This window comes from Homo sapiens, chromosome 2 (genome assembly GCF_000001405.40).
Source record: "Homo sapiens chromosome 2, GRCh38.p14 Primary Assembly".
Lineage (NCBI taxonomy): Eukaryota > Metazoa > Chordata > Mammalia > Primates > Hominidae > Homo > Homo sapiens.
Window position 1 is genome coordinate 8895040 of NC_000002.12, and position 16675 is coordinate 8911714.

The 16675-nt window shown below is 42.8% G+C and overlaps 1 protein-coding gene across 13 annotated transcripts in view; it reads right to left on the minus strand.

The window, feature by feature from the left end:
* The window catches only part of MBOAT2 (membrane bound glycerophospholipid O-acyltransferase 2), a 150995-nt gene that overhangs the window by 42350 nt on the left and 91970 nt on the right, over nt 1-16675 (minus strand). For all 13 annotated transcript variants that reach the window (NR_135601.2, NR_135605.2, NR_135600.2 and 10 more), the window contains one exon: nt 13582-13677. Coding sequence is in view for 3 of the 13 variants with exons in the window: in NM_001321265.2 (NP_001308194.1) it covers nt 13582-13677 (96 nt within the window). In the remaining 10 variants the exon portion in view is untranslated. The remainder of the gene's footprint in view (nt 1-13581; nt 13678-16675) is intronic.

Here is a 16675-nt window from a genome sequence, read left to right on the forward strand (position 1 = left end):
GTGAGTGTTACCGCCTCATAAAGGCGGTGGGGACCCAAAGAGTGAGCAGCAGCAAGATTTATTGTGAAGAGCAAAAGAATAAAACTTCCACAGCGTGGAAACGGACCCTAGCGGGAGCCACTGCTGGCTCACCTGGCCTGCTTTTATTCCCTTATTTGGCCCCACCCACATCCTGCTGATTGGTCAATTTTACAGAGTGCTGATAGGTCCATTCTACAGAGTGCTGATTGGCCCATTTTACAGAGTGCTGATTGGTCCATTTTACAGAGTGCTAATTGGTCCGTTTTACAGAGTGCTGATTGGTCCGTTTTACAGAGTGCTGATTGGTCCGTTTTACAGAGTGCTGACTGGTGTGTTTACAATCCTTTAGCTAGACACAGAGTGCTGGTTGGTGCATTTACAATCCTTGAGCTAGACACAAAAGTTCTCCAAGTCCTCACCCAATTAGCTAGACACAGAGCGCTGATTGGTGCATTTACAAACCTTTAGCTAGATACAAAGTGCTGATTGGTGCATTTACAATCCTTTAGCTAGACAGAAAAGTGCTCCAAGTCCCCACCCAACCCAGAAGCCCAGCCAGCTTCACCTCTCAATCCCCCCTCTAAACAGGACACCCAACTGCTATTGAGAATTTGGCCGATGACCGCTCTAGCTACTTCCTGCTGGATAGGAGCGAAGAAGGGGCCCTGCAGCTGTAGTGTCCTCCAGAAAAGTTGTTAGTTGAGCTCATTTGGGGTTCCGTTTGTAAGAACATCTGTAGGTTGATGGCCTCGATTCTAGAGGAAACAAATTTGACAAAGAGGTTAAAAATAAAGGGCACGAAGGCAAGTAATAGCAAGATGGCTGTCACAGGACCTAGAAAGGGGAGAAGCCATGTTGCCCAACTCCAGAGGTTGGTATAAGAGTTGTGAAAGGGAGCCGGGCACGGTGGCTCATGCCTGTAATCCCAGCACTTTGGGAGGCCGAGGCGGGCGGATCACGAGGTCAGAAGATCGAGACCATCCTGGCTAACATGGTGAAATCCCATCTCTACTAAAAATGCAAAAAAAATTATCCAGGCGTGGTGGCAGGCACCTGTAGTCCCAGCTACTCAGGAGGCTGAGGCAGAAGAATGGCGTGAACCCGGGAGGTGGAGCTTGCAGTGAGCCGAGATCGAGCCATTGCTCTCCAGCCTGGGTGACAGAGTGAGACTCCGTCTCAAAAAAAAAAAAAAAAAAAAAGAGTTGTGAAAGGTGTTGTCTGATTGCAGAAGCCTTTTCCCGTAAAGGCCGGGTGGCATCTCGTAATATCCCTGACTGGTTAGTGTAAAAACAACACTCTTCCCCTAAGAAGGTGCACAGTCCTCCTTTCTCAGCAGTGAGGAGGTCTAGGCCTCGGTGGTTTTGGAGAGTCACTGCTGCCAGAGTCTATTTGGGATTGTAGAGTAAGGATAGATTTCGTCACTTCCTGCAAACTGTCTGAGAAATCCTTTGAGAGTGTGTGGCAGTAGGATAATGCATGTTACACTGTTAACTTTTAGCAAAATTTACTTTAGTTGAAAACCTTGTTAAGTTTGGGATTTTAATTTTTCTTTGCTATTAATAAGACCTTGTTCAGTCCATATTAACTTAAAATTGGTATAGACGGCTCCTTCCTGATTCTATAAGTACTTTAAGGTTTGGCTGAGTGCAAACAGCTCACACGTTTGAGCAGACCAATTATTAGGCAATTTTCCTAACTCTGCTTCTGTAATAGTTTCCTTATCACTTACTGAATACCCATTGTGTCTTTTTCCTTAATCGCCTGGGAGGAACCATCTATCTCCTGTCCTGAAGGGAGTTCCTCCTATGCCTGATGGGACCTTTGTATGATAATTAAGATTTAGATCCCGTTAGGAAACCTGCTGGGTTAAGGATTTTTGATAGGAAGGCTACGGGCTGTCAGTGGCCTCAGTGCTTTCGGGCTATGCCCTTGTTTACACTGATAACAAGGTGGTATTGGAGTGTTACAGGGTTATAGAGAAGACCTTCAATTATCAATTATAGGTTTTAAAATTTACCCTGGCTTTTAAAGGAAAGGGGTACACTGTTTTTTCTTTACTACTTCTCTCTTTGACTTCTTTGTCTCTGTCTCTTCCTCTCTTTGACTTTCTGTGTCTCTTTCTCTCTTTTTCTCTGATTCCATCTTTGTCTCTTCCTCTCTGTCTCCTTCTTTGTCTCTCTTTCATCCTCTCTCTTTCTCTGACTTTCTGTCTCTTTCTCTCTTTCCTTTCTGCTGCCTCTGCCAGCTGCTTATGCTGCTGTTCTCCCCTCTCCTTCCCCTTTGGATGGCTTCAGCAGTGTAAGACTGCCACCTCCTTGGGTTTCTGTACTGCATGCAATAACTCCATGGTTTCCTTGTGGTATTTAATGGAGGGAACGTTCCCCCAGAGGTTAGGAACTCCCTTTCTTTCCATATTGCAGCATGGGCATGTAGGATTAGATAAGCATACTTGCTATCTGTATACACATTTATTCTTTTTCCCCTTCCCAGTTCTAAGGCTTGGGTAAGTGCCACTAGTTCTGCTAATTGGGCACTGGTCCCTGGGGGAAGAGGCTTACTTTCAAGTATGGTTACATCACTAACTATGGCATAACCTGCCCTTCATATCCCATTCTCCACAAATGAACTTCCATCAGTATATAGGTTAAGGTCAGGATTAGCTAAGGGGACTTCTAAGAGGTCATCTTGGGCGGCAAAACTCTAGACTATAATTTGTTGGCAGTCATGCTCGATTGGTTCCCCATCCTCTGGGAGAAAAGTGGCAGGGTTGAGGGCCACACACATACATATCTGAAGCACTGGTCCCTCAAGGAGTAGCGCCTGGTATCTAAGTAGGCAATTGTCTGATAGCCATAAACTTCCTTTGCCACCTAGTATGCCATTTACATCACGAGTAGTTCAGATAGTGAGATCCTTTCCTTGTATTATTTTGATAGCCTCTGACACTAAGACGGCCACCGCCACAACTATCCGTAAACAGTGAGGCCAATCTTTTGCTACTACATCAATTTCCTTACTTTGGTATGCCACTGTTTGTGGGGTTGTCCCACGAGTCTGAGTAAGGACTCCAAGAGCTATCCTTGCTCCTCTGTGACATACAAAGAGAAGTTTTGTCCTGTCGGAAGGCTTAAAGCTGGAGCTTGTACTAGGGCCTGCTTTAAGGTTTTTGAAGGCTGTTTCTGCCCCTGGTTCCCGTTCTACTAGATGAGTATTTGCCCTGGGTCTCCTTGATTAGAGTATAGAGGGGCCTGGCTATCTTGCTGTATCCGGGGATCCATAGTTGGCAAAAGCCAGTGATTCCAAAGAACCCCCGCAACTGTTTTAATGTCTTAGGGCACGGATAAGCCAGTACAGCCTGTATTCATTCCTTGCTGAGGGCCCTGGTTCCTCTAGCTAAGATTAGGCCTAGATATTTGGCCTGCTGTAGGCAAAGCTGGGCCTTCGACCTAGACACCTAGTACCCTTGATTAGCTAGAAAGTTCAAGAGATCTAGAGTAGCCTGCTGGCAAGAGGCTTCTGAACTGGTGGCCAAAAGTAAATCATCCACATACTGAAGGACCAGAGTGCCTGGACTTGAGAAGTGGCCTAGATCTTGGGCCAGTGCCTGACCAAACAGGGGAGGGCTATCCCTAAACCCTGGGGGCAAGACCGTCCACGTAAGTTGGGACGTGTGGTCTGTGGGATCCTCAAAGGCAAAGAGAAACTGGGAGTCAGAGTGCAGGGGAATACAGAAGAAGGCATCCTTGAGGTCCAGAACAGTGAACCATTCTGCTTCCTCTGGTATTTGAGAGAGCAGGTTATAGGGGTTGGGTACAACTGGATATAGAGGAATTACTGCCTCATTGATAAGTCTAAGATCTTGCACTAGTCTCCACTGACCATTCGGTTTTTGTACTCCTAGAATTGGGGTGTTGCAGGGACTGCTGCATTTCCTTATTAAGGCTTGAGCTTTGAAACGTTTAACAATATCTTGCAATCCTTTATGAGCTCCAGGTCTTAAGGGATATTGCCTTTGATAAGGAAAAGTGGTGGGGTCTTTTAGCCTGATTTGGAATGGGCGGGCATTTTTTGCCCTTCCAAATTGCCCTTCCAATGCCCAGACTTCAGGGTTGATTCCCTCTTCAAGTAGTGGACAACAAATGGGTAACTTGTTCCCCATATTCACGTAGATAATAGCTCCAGCTTTGGCTAATATATCCCTCCCTAATAAGGGTGTGGGACTTTCAGGCATAACAAGGCAGGCATGTGAAAAGAGCCAAGTCTCCCAATTACAACTGAGGAGGTGGGAGAAATACCTGGTTACAGGCTGTTCCAGGATTCCTCGGATGGTAATGGACCTTGAGGACAGTCATCCAGGACAGGAGATTAGCACTGAGAAGGCCGCGCCAGTGTCCAGGAGGAAGTCAATGTCCTGGCCCTCAATGGTTAAACCGTACCTGGGGCTCAGTGAGGGTGATGACATGAGCTGGCGCTTGCCCTGGGCACCCTCAGTCCTGTTGTTGGATCATCTGGTTGGGGGTTTCTGACCCAGAGAACCTTTGTCTTATGGAGCAGTGCACCTTCCAGTGATTGCCACTGCATAGCGGACATGGATGAGGGGGTAGCTTGTTTCTCATTGGACAATCTTTTTTAAAGTGTCCTTGTAAACCACACTCTTAACAAATCCTACCAGATGATTGGCCTGCTCCATTTTCTGTCCTCTCTGAACCACCAAGGTTTGTTTGTCTGAGGGCCATGACTAAGGCTGCGGCCTTTCTCTGATCTCGCTTTTCCTTTTGGGCCTGTTCCTCTTGGTCCCTATTATAGAACACCGAGGTTGCCAGGTTTAATAATGCCTCCAGATTTTGTTCAGGGCCCAGGGCTTGCTTTTGGAGCTTTCTCCTGATATCTGCGGCTGATTGGGTAATAAACTTATCTTTTAGAATCAATTGACCCTCTAGTGATTTGGGTGACAGGGGAGTATATTTTCTTAAGGCCCCCCATAGCTGTTCAAGGAAGGCAGAAGGATTTTTTTCCTTTCCCTGAGTTACGGTGGACAACATTGAGTAATTCATGGCTTTTTTCCTAATTCTTCTTAGTCCTTCTAGAACACAGGACAACAGATGTTTACGACTCCAGTCCCCATGATCTGAGTTGAGGTCCCAGTGGAGATCCATACTGGGGATGGCTTGCTGACCAGTAGGGAATTTGTCCCTTTCTTCAGCTGTCATTCTATCATTTACTTGACTAAGATACCAAGTATCTCCAAACTTTGGGGCTGCAGCTAAAGTCGCATTCTTTTCATTAAAGGCCAGGGTTTGATCTAATAATAGCATGACATCTCTCCAAGTGAGCTCAAAGGTTTGCCCTAGACCCTGTAGGACATCTATGTACCTATCAGGATCATCTGAAAACTTCCCCAGGTCTGCCTTGATCTGCTTTAAATCAGAGAGGGAGAAGGGGACATGTACCCAGGTTGGGCCAAATTTCCCTCCTCCTACAGCTTGAAGGAGACATATCCAATAACCTGGGGGGTTTTGTGGTACTTTGGAGATTTCTTTGCTTATTTCCTTCTGAGTGGGGGAGATTAGAGGAGGATTATCATTAATAGAAAGGGGAGCTATAGGGAGGCTAGGATATGGCGGTAAGCTGAAAGGTCCTCCTGTGGGATATAAATTTCAAGCTTTGCATACTTGTGTATTCTCCTTCAATGAAAAGAAAGCTCAGACATAAGGTATTTCACTCCATTTGCCTTCCCTCTTACAGAAAAGATCAAGCTTCAGGATAGTATTGTAATTTGTACTTCCCTCTGGTGGCCATTTTTCCCCATCAGAGAGAGAATACTGGGGCCAGGCTGTAGTGCAGAAAAAAATGAGCTGCCTCTTTTTCAGGGTTTGTGGGTCAAATTGGTCCCAATGGCTTAGGATGCATTTCAAGGGTGAGCCTGTTGATGCCTGAGTGTTTCCCATCTGAAAGACAAAACCACCCATGGTTTTGGTTTGTTTTGTTTCTCGCCCTGCCCAAGAACCTGCAACAGTCCCTGGACCCTGCTGATCGGAATAGTTGTGCTCACTGATGCAGCAGTAGAAACAACCCCTGCCCAAGAACCTGCAATGGTCCCTGGACCCTGCTGATTGGAATAGTTGCGCTCACCGATGCAGCAGCAGAAACAACCCTGCCCAAGAACCTGCAACAGTCCCTGGACCCTGCTGATCAGAATAGTTGAGCTCACCAGCACAGCAGCAGAAACATTAGTTTTCCTCCTAGACCACAAGGAGGACCAAGGAAGGTCAGATTTAGTGGCCCTTACCGACGCATTCTCAAAAACGTGCACCCTTGCCTGTCCTCCTAGACCACAAGGAGGACCGAGAAAAATTGGATTTAGTGGCCCTTACCGACACATTCTCAAAAACCTGTTAGAGTCCTAAGCATTCTCCTGTTAGTATTAGGACTTTACCCATGTACTATAAAGATGTTATGCCCCAAAAATGAAGTGGAGGGCCATACCCTGAGGGAGGGAAGGGATCTCCAGAGTTACAAGAGTGATGCCTTTTGTCCTCACTTATATGAATAGGAAGGATACAATTTCTGAGGCACCCCGTATCCTAGCTTCAGGAATAGTTTTTGTTAGGCCTGCTTGTCTGAGGAGGGATTCTAAAATTCCAGATAGTCCCCCCTACGATGGGGCTTTGGGCAAAAATTATGTCTTTCTGATTGGTGAGCCCGGGTGCCTAAAGAAGGTAACAGAGTCCTGAAGTTTATACTAGAAATCATTCTTACAGGAGAAACTAGAAAAGAATCAGAGACAGGGAGTGGTTTTTAGAAGCAGGACTAGCCTTGGAGAAGAGAGGCGAGAGGAAGTTTGTCTGACAGGCATTAGGACCCAGGAGGCAAGGGTCAGGATAGATAGGATAGATGGGCGAGTCTCGCTTGGGCGACATGACTTTGAGAGTTCCGCTCATGGCCGCAGGGTCAACCAACTTGTTGTCGGGACCCCGGAGCTGAATGGCTTTCCTCTCTGTCAACCCTCAGCTCAGCCCAGAGGTACAGGAAAAGTGGAAGCTGGTTCCAGGCAAACCAACGCTCCCAACTCCTAAGAGTCAGGGGTTGTTAAGAGAGCCCTTTTCCAGAAAGCCTGACACCCGTGTCCGTAGTCCAGCGGCCGTGCTAGTCGCTTTTAACTGGCCAACAGGTGCCCAGTATTTAGCCCCCAAATTCTAAGGAAAAATAGGACAAAATAGCAAATGAAAGGGGTCCGATGGTACTCACCACTTGGCGATAATCAGTGGTCCCTTTGTGGTCACCAAAATGTGTCTGGAATTGGTGGGTTCTTGGTCAAGCTGACTTCAAGAATGAAGCCGCGGACCCTTGCAGTGAGTGTTACAGTTCTTAAAGATGGTGTGTCCGGAGTTTGTTCCTTCTGATGTTCGGACGTGTCCGGACTTTCTTCCTTCTGATGGGTTCGTGGCCTTGTTGACTTCAGGAGTGAAGCTGCAGACCTTCGTGGTGACTGTTACAGCTCTTAAAGGCGGTGCGTCTGGAGTTGTTCATTCCTCCCGGTGGGTTCGTGGTCTCACTGACTTCAGGAGTGAAGCTGTAGACCTTTGCGGTGACTGTTACAGTTCATAAAGGCAGTGCATCTGGACTTGCTCATTCCTCCCAGTGGGTTCATGGTCTGACTGACTTCAGGAGTAAAGCTGCAGACCTTCACGGTGAGTGTTAACAGCTCATAAAGGTGGCGGGGACCCAAAGAGTGAGCAGCAGCAAGATTTATTGTGAAGAGCAAAAGAACAAAAAGCCTTCACAGCGTGGAAGGGGACACAAGTGGGTTGCTGCTGCTGGCTCGGGTGGCCTGCTTTTATTCCCTTATTTGGCTCCACCCACATCCTGCTGATTGGTCAATTTTACAGAGTGCTGACTGGTCCATTTTACAGAGTGCTGATTGGTCCGTTTTATAGAGTGCTGATTGGTGCGTTTACAATCCTTTAGGTAGACACAGAATGCTGATTGGTGCATTTACAATCCTTGAGCTAGACACAAAAGTTCTCCAAGTCCCCACCCGATTAGCTAGACACAGAGCGCTGACTGGTGCATTTACAAACCTTTAACTAGGCACAAAGCACTGATTGGTGCATTTACAATCCTTTAGCTTGACAGAAAAGTTCTCCAAGTCCCCACCCGACCCAGAAGCCCAGCTGGCTTCACCTCTCAAGATCACATGGTCTATCACTTCTTCTTATACTTGAAAAAAATGCTGCCTACAAAAGTACCTGGCTCAGCCTTCAAGAACTTAGCAAAATGCACAGTGCCTGCTTAATAAACCTTAGTGAAGGAGCACACACGACTGAGCAGTAGTAAACATTTACCAAGCCTCTGATACGGTTCAGTTAGCTCTAAGATATATCCTTGATGTGAATAAACAATTATTTCACATAGATTTTTTTTTTTGGTGGGTACACTAAAAGCAACTCTTTCAGTACCACAGAAATCAACATATTCCAATCAGAACGTTTTTGCCAAAAAATCTGTTCTCGCTTCCATCTACAATCTATTATCTCTACCTGGGGCAAGGATTCACCTTTCTCTTCTCTTTCCAAATGTCCCAATACAATTTACTGAGTACAGCCTAGCTTTCCCCACGGATTTCTGATCCCACCACTGCTGTTCTGTATTTTAATTTCTTAGATCCGTGAGTCTCTTTCTCAGTCCTTCATCCGGGTTTCCTTGGTTTGCCTATTCCTGTCAGTCCAGAATATTTTAATGACTCCTGCTTTACAGACGGCAGTATGTCTTTATATCAACTTCACTACACTCAAGCATTTATTCTTCTAGAGAAAAATTTTCAATTTATTTATCTAATTTCCCTCAAGACTCCACAATTTTACCTGCATTAACATCAACAGATTAACTTGGGGGAATCAGTATCTTTTTTTTTTATTTTACTTTATTTTTTATTTTTTTTGAGACAGCTCTGTCGCCCAGGCTGGAGTGCAGTGGTGTGATCACAGCTCACTGCAACCTCCACCTCCTGGGTTCCAGTGATTCTCGTGCCTCAGCCTCCGAAGAAACTGTGATTACAGTTGTGCGCCACCACGTGGCTAATTTTTGTATTTTTAGTAGAGACGAGTTTTGCCATATTGGTCAGGCTGGTCTCAAACTCCTGGCCTCAAGTGATCCAGCTGCCTCAGCCTCCCAAAGTGCTAAGATTGCAGGCATGAGACACCATGCCCAGCCCCATTCGTATCTTTATAATACTGAAGGTTGTTTTTATTTTTTATTTTTTTTTTTTTGAGATAGGATCTTGCTGTGTTACCCAGGCTGGAGTACAGTTGTGCGAACATGGCTCACTGCAGCCTCAACCTCCGAAACTCAAGCGATCCTCCCACTTCAGCCTCCTGAGTAGCTGGGACTACAGGCACACAGCACCATGCCAGCTAATTTTTAAATTTTTTGTAGAGATGGGGTTTCACCATGTTGCCCAGGCTGCTCTTGAACTCCTAAGCTCAAGTGATCCTCCCACCTTGGCCTCCCAAAGTGTTGGTATTACAGGTGTGAGCCACTGCACCCAGTCACAATACTGAGTTTTATTATTCAAACAAACAGTCTGATTTTTTTTTCCAGTTACTCTATGTTCTACAGTAACAATTTATAGTTTTCTGCACAGGTTCTGTACATTTCTTTTTACACATATTACTACACATTTCATGGTTTTTCTTGCTTTTGAAATAGGATCCTTTTTCTATCATATTTTCTAACTGATTACTGCTGACATGAAGAAAGCTATTTAGTTGTTTTATACTTCTCTTGTATCTATTTTCTGAGGCTAACATGAAACCAAACAACTTCAGTAGCTTTTCAACCTTTCTGTAAACAGAAACTTGTATTATGTATTATGGTATAAGTTTATCTTTATCTAATCAACATTTTAAATGTATCTTAAACCTAACAATTTACACATACACACACACACACGCGCGCAGTTTCTCCATACTCTTGTGCAAGTAAAACTGTCCCATAAAAGAGAGATTTCACACTGATTCCTCAGCAAGAGTCTGGGCTTTGCTTCTTGCACTTTCTAGCATCAGAGCAACAGACCAGCTCAGCACCAAGAGTGAGTCACTATCCAATCCACCTTATTAGCCATCTAACATTCTGAATAGCTATGATATTCACGCTAATTAGGATCAAGTCAGGATCTTTTCTGCTCATGTATTATAACACATTCAAGGGTTCCCTGTGCTTGAATACTTCATTAAGGGGAGAGTCTGTCTCTAGGTGGCTTTTTCTCCCTTGTGCCCATTAAAAAACAAAACAAAAAAAAACAAGAGCCTTCAAGTTCATTCTGCCACAATGATCTCCTTCAGCTAATTCGACTATCTAATCTTTATCAGTTCACTGATAATGGTCAAAAGTTTTCTCCTATACTATGCAGCCATAAAAAAGGATGAGATGCATGTCCTTTGTAGGGACATGGATGAAGCTGGAAACCATCATTCTCAGCAAACTATCAGAAGGATGGAAAACCAAACACCGCATGTTGTTATTCACAGGTAGGAAGTGAACAATGAGAACACTTGGACATAGGGAGGGGAACATCACACACCAGGGCCTGTTGTGTGGTGGGGGGATGGGGGAGGGATAGCATTAGGAGAAATACCTAATGTAAATGACAAGTTAATGGGTGCAGCAAACCAACATGGCACATGTATACGTATGTAACAAACCTGCACGTTGTGCACATGTACCCTAGAACTTAAAGTATAATAATAAAAAAAGTTTCCTCCTAATGGATAAAAATTATTCTTTAAACTTGGAGATTTATAAACAGGTTTTCTATCTTTAAAAGTCCAGGTTGTTTTTCTTCTACATATTTAAACATTTAAAATTGCATTTAAGTATTTAACTGGCATTTTATTTTTATTTATTTCATTTTTTTGAGACAGGTTCTCACTGTGTCACCTGGGCTGGAGTGCAGTGGTGCAATCTCAGCTCACTGCAACCTCTGCCCCCAGGGCTCAAGCAACTCTTCCCACCTCAGCCTCCTGAGTAGCTGGGGCTACAGGTATGCGCCACCATGCCTATTTAATTTTTTGTATTTTTAGTAGAGACAGGGTTTTGCCATGTTGCCCAAACTCCTGAGCCCAGGTGATCCACCTGCCTTGGCCTCCCAAAGTGCTGGGATTACAGGCATGAGCCACCACACCCAGCCTTTTAAATGTCAGCAAAATACTTCTAAAGTCACGTCCTATACAGCTGTTTTTTAAACATGCACTATGCTCTTAATGTCAATTGTCCTATGATCTATGAGGCCACGTGACTCATGCTTGCTGACAGGATGCAGGCACAAGTGTTGCGCAGGCACACCCTCACTTTGCTCACACTCACCACCCTGCCCTCAACTTCACCTAGAGGATTCCAGAGCCTGAAGGAGGTGAAACCACAAGAAGGAAGGAGTCTGGTTCCCTGAATGACTGTGTGGAGCAGAGACTCCCTTCTCAATGAACTGTAATGTGAATGAGAAATAAACTCTTATTACGTTGAGCCACTGAAATAATGTTACTGTTTTAAATGCAGTTAGCCTATCCCTAGATAACACAGAAATGTGAGGTAAAGGTCTTGAGACTGCCAAGAATTTGGAATAGCTGACGAGGAAAATAAAAAGGGTAATGACCAAGATCAAACTGATGGAGGGGCTGTGAGAGCCCAATAAAGACTGAGTCACACAAATCTATAGTAACACCAATCCACATGGTTGTACAATAAATTCAATTTGCCTATGTAAATCACTTTTTAAATCAAATGGTTAAAAGAGCAACAAAATATTTTTTAATGAAATATACGGAATCCCAAAATACAAACTAGAGAAATACAGAGCAGATGTGGCTGAAGCAAGACTGGAGGACCTAGAACCTCATCTGCTGAGCTCCTCCGACACCTGCAGAACCTGCCTGCAGAGTCCCAGGACTCTAAAGGTCAGTGTGAAAATTCATGATTTTACAGTATCGTTAACCTTAAGTTGCTAATGTTAATATTTGTTATCAACATTAAACTAAATTAATTAAAAGTATGCTTTTTGTTTCTATTTTCTACTATTAATAAATGCTTATTTCTCACTTATTATAATTCAAGTATTCAAAGCTCTTAATTTCTCTTTCAGATGGCACAGCTTTGCCCACATGGCTCCAGTTTCTCCATTTGTGTTGTCTGTTACTTTCCCCCATTTTTCTCACTGTATTTTCAACTTTCTTCTGTACTGAAGTATTATTCCCGACTCAATATATATTTAATGCCATCGTGTGCTAAGCACTAGGATGCATGATGAACAAGACCAATATAGGTGCAAATTCTCAGGAGAATTTAATTTTCTAAGTGACTGCAATTCTTTTAAACTTATATAACTATTTCCCAATTTCATTACACTATGATGACAATGTGACCTGGGCTACTTCCTCAAGATCACGAAGGTTTTCACAGTGGTCCAGTATCTACTGATCCTGCTCATGAGGTAATGTTTTCCAGGAATACCTACTATCCATAAACTAGATGGCCAGCATCTGCTCTCCTTTTCTGCCCTTCCAGGTGTATCTCCCAATTCCACTCAATAGCTTCGATTAACTAGTTTTTTAGTGCATTTAAATTGTTTTGTTTTGGCCTTGGGTTTTATTTGTTTTTGATGTAATTTCCTTTCATCTGAACCTATTTTTAAAATCTGTGTAGTAAAATATACTTTAATCTCATTAGGGAGAAAAAGGTATTTCCTCTTTCTCTTCTAAAACTCTCTTGTTTTATAGAAGTGATTTTTTTTCCCTGAGCTCATACAACTTTGGTCCATTTCTATTGCTGAACAATTTTTTTTTCAGAGGTAACATGATTTTTCCAACACACTTATCCTTACACTGGATTTACTGCTCATTACTTACGCTGTCCAGATGACCCGAGACTAGCCCAAAGCAGGCCTATTGTATCTTGTTCACTGGAGAAAGCAGTCAAGCTTGACATAAAAAATATATATGTATATAAAGGTTTATCTTCAACTTCCCCATCTGGTACCAAAGTGTTAGCAGATGTCACTTTATAAAGATGGAAAGCAAGTTACTTCGTAAGAGCTTGTGCATTTATTTCACAACAGACATATAATCAGTTTTGTTACAGGACAAAAAGATTCATCTAGTACCAGGAAGAAAATACATCCCCTTTGAAGGAACAAATGCCAGAAATTATTTCCACTACTCAACTGAATACTGGTGTTGAATGGAGAACACTGAAAATAGGTGAAATGCATAGAAGTAAAACGCACTCTTGAGCGCCTTCTCTAGGAAACTCAGACTGACCTAGCCCAAGGACCTAAGAACCAAAGGAAGTTCCATTAGGCAGGAAGAAGCAGAACAAGGCTCTTACTGACTTAGATAGTACTAAAAAGACTACTTACAAGAGAGAAATTCTAAATTTAGAAAGAAATTTTCAACTAAAATGTTTAATAATAGCTTTTCACTTGAACTACTAAATGCAAATATATTTTGTCCTTTAACCACCTTGTTGGAATGGATAAAACAGGCTACTGAATCAAAGTTTTCATCTTACCCTGAAAAATCAGCAGAATATTGTCCATAGTCAAAGATATAGACTCGAGTAACTTGGCACACTGTGAGGTATCCCAGAGCAAACACAAAGCAGTAACTGCAAAACAAAAATAAGCTACATTAATGAAAATAAGACTCATTTTGTTAAAGAGTACATTTTAAAGTAATTTATTAGCTAAATGATATGGTTCAGAAATTAAATATTACTAGATCTACTCTACAAACACCCTTCTTTAATAAATTATGAAAACTCTTTTCTAGTATCCACTTCAGTTTACTTGACTATCACCTTCAATGGTAAATTCATTTTATTCATTTCCTTCTGAGAGACATACACACACCACTTTACATATTTGAAATCAGGATCACAAGCATAAACCTGTGGTTAGTATGTGTTCCATTTATTCCTCCTTTCTAGGACACAAAAGTTAGCACAAAAATATTTGGCTAAGGTATACATTCAACAAATTCTTAATAGAATTTTGAAAAAAACCTGTCCTCGATAGTCTAAAAGCATACCTTCTAAGTATGAGTCGGGTGGCATTTACACACATTTCATAGCCATGAACACTTACTGATTTCTATAAACTTAAGATGCTTGGAATATAGTTACAATTAAAAACATAGCATGGGAAAAAGAACTTATATATCAACAGGAGAGAACAGAAACCCAGAAACAGACTCCAGAATATTTAACATTGAATAGGATGAAGGCTGCAATGCAAATTATCAGGGAATGGATGAGTTGTCATCTAATTGGTTCACAGTCTGGGTGGGGAAAAGCAAGCTATGCCTTCATCTCACACCGAAACAATTCTATGTGGATTAATGAATTATATGTAAAATATACAAGTACAACAAATAGTAACTGTGACTAAATATTCAAATGTTCTGAAATTGGGGAAGGACTTTCTAAGCAATATATGATATAGGAGAAATCAAGGGAGAAAAAAACCTTTAACTAAAAAAAAATTTGACCAAATAAAAATCTTTGTCATGTAGGCAGTTCAGGTGGTTTTATGAAAGTTCTTTCAAACTTTTGACAAATAGTTAATTATAATCTTTTGAATTATTCCTGAGCAAAGAACAGGGAAGGAAAGCTTCCTAATTCAAATGTTTAACAAAGTTAATATATTCATGATTGCTGTATCTGACAAAAATAGCACATATGGATACCCATACACAAAGCATTGAGAAATCAAATTTTAAATAATTTCTAAAAATCATGTGGCAGACTGCACTTTCCAAAGATGCCCAAAACAGTATCTCCCATTTTATACACTCTTCTGCAGTCTGTCCTGCTCCCCGTCAAGAGGAGGAGTCTACCTCGCTGCCCACCTCTAATTGCCCACTTCTGTGGGCTGGCCTTCTAACTGCACAGACCAGCGGATTACAGAAGCAACATTTTGCTAGTTCCAGGTGTGAACCATAATTAACCTGGGAGTTTCTACTTTTTGCCTTTTAGAAGTTGGTTGTTGGGAAGAAGTGTGACCATCCTGAGACCACTGCATGTAGAGATTCTGGAGGATGAGAGACGATCCAGAGAAAGACAGAGAGAGAGAAAGAACAAGAGAGAAAAGGTGGGATAAAGGAAGGGTTGGGGATTGGGTTGGGTGTAGGTCCTAATCAAGGAACTGATCACACACATCTAGGGGACAAGGAAGGAAGGAAAGAGGGGTGAAGGAGAGAGGAGCAGCGTGGAGATGGAGAGTGAGGCACTAAGGAGCACCAAGTGGTTAGACATGTGAGTGAGGAAGCTGATTCCACATGAAAAAGAGATGATGCTATCCAGTTGAACCCTTCCTGAACTGCTTATCCACAGTCATAAGCAACCTAATACAGAGTATCAATTTGTTTTAAGCCACTATGTTTTGATGTAATGACATAATCAAAACAGAAACTGGTAACTGAAAATGGGGTGCTACTATAACCAAACACCTTTATGGAACATGTCAGATAAGAAGCCGTTTCTAAGAATCCTAAGCACATGCCTCTTAGACATTCTCTGATAGATAAAAAAAAGTTTTTAAGAACCCCAAGGGTGTTGTCACACAGCACCCCAACTCTCAAAGTAGAAAGGAGGCTGTCTAAAAGAGATTTGTGGGTGTAGTTTCTGTCTAATGTAGAGGATTACAATTAGATACACAGGAAGCCCACATAGTTTTCTAATGGGCTTGTAAAATATTAGACTGAAAAGGAGAGACAGTTCAAAATGAAAAGAGATGTTTAGGTCCCCAAATTTTACCCACAGGAAGCAGTCTAGGAAAGCTATTCAAATGTAAAACCTGGCAATTTCTTATGAAAAAGAACGACTAGTTCAGGGTGTGGAGTCAAGAGCTCAGAGGATGAAGCCAAACACCACACAGATGCACTAGAGGGACTGGGTCTGGGCCCTAAATCAAGGAACTGATCACACATATCTGTCTAGATTTCACAATCACCATGGACTAGGGACTGAGAAGCGCCTTACAGTCCAATCATTTTCATTAACAATAATGTCTCCTACAGTTGTCCTATGGCTGATCATCACTGGATACTAGGTGTGTGAGGGGCAAAACACTTGTCCATTAGTCCACTGGTCCTCAAATCAAAAAGAACTGTACTTGAGGACCCACTCCAACAACCCTCATCCAGACCTGACTTAGATGACAAGATCAAGAACTTGAGCTTGATTCCCTAATGAAATGAGACTTTGGGGATCTTGGGAGGAAAGTGGGTAAACTTTCATGTAGGATTCATGTGAACTGTGGGGGCCAGAGGACTGGCTGTTTTTCAAGACTGCTGCCATCAATAACATCCCTCCCTGTTGCACATGTCTAACTCTTTACATCAAGAGCTGAAAGAAAATTCTTGCTATGGTTGGGATGTTCGTCTCCTCTAAAACTTCATGTAGAAATCTAATCTCTAATGCTGGAGGTGGGGCCTAATGGGAGGTGTTTGGGTCATGGGGGCAGATCCCTCATGAATAGATGAATGCCTTCCCTGGGGGATGAGAAGGTGAGTGAGTTCTCACTTTATTTATTCCCTTGAGAACTGGTTGTTAAAAACAGCCTGGCACCTCACCGCTCTTTCCTCCTCTCTGGCCACGTGGTCTC